The sequence below is a fragment of the Homo sapiens genome, chromosome 1, assembly GCF_000001405.40.
Source record: "Homo sapiens chromosome 1, GRCh38.p14 Primary Assembly".
Classification (NCBI taxonomy): domain Eukaryota; kingdom Metazoa; phylum Chordata; class Mammalia; order Primates; family Hominidae; genus Homo; species Homo sapiens.
Window position 1 is genome coordinate 98,781,820 of NC_000001.11, and position 3,798 is coordinate 98,785,617.

The 3,798-nt window shown below is 41.7% G+C and overlaps 2 annotated features.

Annotated features, from left to right (window-relative positions):
- Positions 1,566-2,155: an enhancer, noted in NCBI's record as "H3K27ac-H3K4me1 hESC enhancer chr1:99248941-99249530 (GRCh37/hg19 assembly coordinates)". NCBI's record gives its function as "activates a minimal SCP1, AML or CMV promoter by ChIP-STARR-seq in primed H9 embryonic stem cells {active_cell/tissue: H9 hESC(primed)}" and the evidence as "EXISTENCE:reporter gene assay evidence [ECO:0000049][PMID:30033119]".
- Positions 2,156-2,745: an enhancer, noted in NCBI's record as "H3K27ac-H3K4me1 hESC enhancer chr1:99249531-99250120 (GRCh37/hg19 assembly coordinates)". NCBI's record gives its function as "activates a minimal SCP1, AML or CMV promoter by ChIP-STARR-seq in primed H9 embryonic stem cells {active_cell/tissue: H9 hESC(primed)}" and the evidence as "EXISTENCE:reporter gene assay evidence [ECO:0000049][PMID:30033119]".

A 3,798-nucleotide genomic window follows, 5' to 3' on the forward strand; every position in this document is an offset into this window, starting at 1 on the left:
TCTGAGTTGAAGAGACAGAGCTGAGAGTATGTGGGATAGTCTGCTGGAGAAGAGAGGGCTTCACAGAGAGAGAACTCCAGAGGTCAACAGCAAGCCCCTCCATGTCTTTAGCAGAGTGCTACTGAGTGCCCATGTATGAGGAGACCACCCAAGGACAGAGGAAAAAACTGACTAAATAGACTAAAAGTGACATTGCCTAGAAGTGACTCAAGGCTGGACATATCACCCATTCCCACCGGCCAAACTGGAAAAATCTCATGTTTCATGGAACACTGGGTAAAGCACACTGACCTGTCTTCAATAGTAGGAAATAATTAAGCTAAAACACCTTTCCAGTCACGCATAACAAACCTTAAAAGGAAGCTCCAACAGTATCCAAATAAATTACTCATGTATCAAGAACAAAGCTCAAGAATATCTATAGGAATCCAAAAACATTTAACATCCAACAAAGTAAAGTTTGCAATGTCAGGAATTCAATAAAATATTATAAACTGGCAAGATAGTACAAAAATATGATTTATAATGAGAGGAAATATCAACTGAAAACCACAACTGACTTAGACATTACAATTAGCAAATAAAGACATAAAACAGTTATATAACTATTATATATGTTCAAATATTAAGTATAGAAATGGAATTTATAAGAAAGACAAAAATGGAATTTCTAGAAAGGAAAACTAAAATGTGTGAGGGGAATGATATATTGGATGGGATTAATGACAAATGCAACATTGCAGATGTAAATATTGGTAAACATGTTGACATGAAAATAAAAACCATCAAGATAAAACACAAAAATAAAGGATAATATTTTTTAAAAAAATGAATGGACTATATAGATATGAGACAATTTCAAGTGGTCTAACATGCTTGTAAGTAAGTGGCCAAAGCAAGGAGAGAGACAGAAAAAATATTGAAGAAAGTAAGTTTGAAAATTTTCAAATTTGATGAAAACAGTAAACTCACAGATCCAAGAATCACAATGAACCCCAAATTCAAGAAACATGAAGACAATTATAACAAACACAGTTCATCATAATCCAATTAATTGGGTTTTTTAATTAAAAATTTTTTTTTTGAGTCACCCTTTTTTTTTTTTCTCTCTGTCACCCAGGCTAAAGTTCAGTGGCACAACCATAGCTCACTGCTGCCTCAAACTCCTGGGCTCAAGTAATTCTCCCACTTCAGCCTACTAAGTAGCTAGGACTACATAGATATGCTACCACACCTGGCTAATTTTAAAATTTTTTTGTATAAACCCAGTCTCACTGTGTTGTCCAGACTGATCTTGAACTCCTGGCCCCAGGTGATCCTGCCTCCTCAGCCTCCCAAAGCACTGAAATTCCAGGTGTCATCCACCAAACCAAGCCTATAATCCAATTGTAAAAACCAATGATAAACAGAAAATTTAAAAATATATCATTAATTTATATCCTCCCCAAACTCAATAAAAGAGAAACAATTTGCTTATTAAATATAGTCAAAAGATTTGAATAGATACTTCACCAAATAAAATATACCTTTATGGCAAATAAGAAATGAAATAATAAACAATTCTGTTAGTTATTTAAAAATGCAAATTAAAACCACAATTAAATAACACCGCATACCTATTACAATGGATTAAACTAAAGACAGAACATATCAAGTGCTGACAAAAAAATGGAGGAACTGAACCCTCATATACTGCTAGTGAGAATAGAAAATAGTATAATTGGGGGTGGAGCCAAGATGGTCTACTAGAAACAGTTGTGTTCAGAGGCAACCATAAAAAAAAAACCATAATAAGCATGTGAATCCTTCACCAGCAACCAAAGAATCCAGATTCTCTCATCAGAACTGACTAGGAGGCTGACGTGACCCATGAAGAGAAGGAAGAACAGTGTGGTGCAGTGGCCCACCTGAGAGCCACATGGGATCGGGGAGCCCCTCTCCACAGTCAAGGGAAGTGGTGAGTGAGCATGCTACCCAGGCAGGGAAACCGTACTTTTTCCATGGAACTTTGCAACCCATGGATTGAAAGATCCCACTCACAAACCCACACCACCGGGGCCTGGCATCCCAACCCTGGAACGCGCAGACTCTTAGCCTCTCAGCTGGAATTTGCTCAAGCCTACTAAACTCTCAGGGAGAGGGGCAACCAGCATCACTGGACTGTGGCTGCCTGCCATCTAAGCCATTTGAGCTCCTTGGGGGAGGGGCAGCCACCAGCACTGGGACTTGCAACTGCCTAAGCTCCCTGGGCGGGGGAAGGGCAGCAACCATCTCTATAGTCCCAGACTGTGATTTTCGCCTGCTGGAGCCAGGGAGGCTGGATGGCTTGGTCCTAAGACTTGTCCCCCACAGCCTAACACACCAGTTGTGGCAGTCTGTGGCCAGAGTGCCTCTTCGGGCCTGACCCTGACCCATCCTTCCTCGTTGGATGGGGCTTCCCTGCAGGAACTCCAATAACTCCAGCCAGAGGCTCAGGGACAGAACCTGGATCCCCCTGGGCATTAGCCCCTAGTGGGAGCGGTGGCTGCAGTCTCTGCGGACCAGCAGACTTAGCCTTTCCTCCTGGTAGTTCTGAGGAATCTGGGCAGCCCAGATGAGTGGGTTTTCCCTCAGCGAGGAACACACCAGAAGCCATCCTACTGGCATCAGGTTGGTGCCCGTTAAGGTCAGAGGTCCCAGAACAAAGAGGAGGCACCCATCTTTGCTGTTCTCCAGCTTCCTTGGGTGACATCTCCAGGCTCTGGAGTGAATCAGATGAATACGGCCTGAAGTGAACCCCCAGAAAACTGCAGCAGCCCTACAGAAGAGGGACCTGATCATTGAAAGAAAAACAAATGAGCAGAAAGCAACAACAGCATCATCATCATCATCATCATCATCAACAACAACAAATCCCCCACAAAAACCCCATCCAAGGGTCAGCAGCCTCAAAGACCGAAACTAGACAAACTCACGAAGATGAGAAAGGATCAACGAAAAAATGCTGAAAACCCAAAAGGCCAGAGTGCCCCTTCTCCAAATGATCACAATGTCTTTCCATCAAGGGTACAGAACTGGACGGAGGATCAGATGGATGAACTGACAGCAGTAGGCTTCAGAAGATGAGTAATAAAAAACTATGCTGAGCTAAAGGAGCATGTTCTAACCCAATGCAAAGAAGCTATGAACCTTGATAAAAGATTAGAGGAATTACTAACTAGAATAACCAGTTTAGAGAGGAATATAAATGACCTGATGGAGCTGAAAAAACACAGCACGAGAACTTTGCGAGGCATACACAAGTATCAATAGCTGAATTGACCAAGTGGAAGAAAGGATATCAGAGTTTGAAGACCATCTTGCTGAAATAAGGCATGCAGACCTTACTAGAGAAAAAAGAATGAAAAGGAATAAACAAAGCTTCTAAGAAATATGGGACTTCATAAAAAGACCGAACCTATGATTGATTGGAGTACCAGAAGGAGATGGGGAGACTGGAAACAAGCTGGAAAACACACTTCAGGATATTATCCAGGAGAACTTCCCCAACCTAGCAAGATAGACCAACATGCAAATTCAGGAAATACAGTGAACACCACTAAGATACTCCATGAGAAGATGAACCCCAAGGCACATAATCATCAGATTCTCCAAGGTCAAAATGAAGGAAAAACTATTAAGAGCAGCAAGAGAGATAGGCCACGTCACCTACAAAGGGAAGCCTTTCAGACTAACAGCGGACCTCTCAGCAGAAACTCTACAAGCCAAAAGAGATTGGGAGCCAATATTCAACATTCTTAAAGAAAAGAATTTTCAACC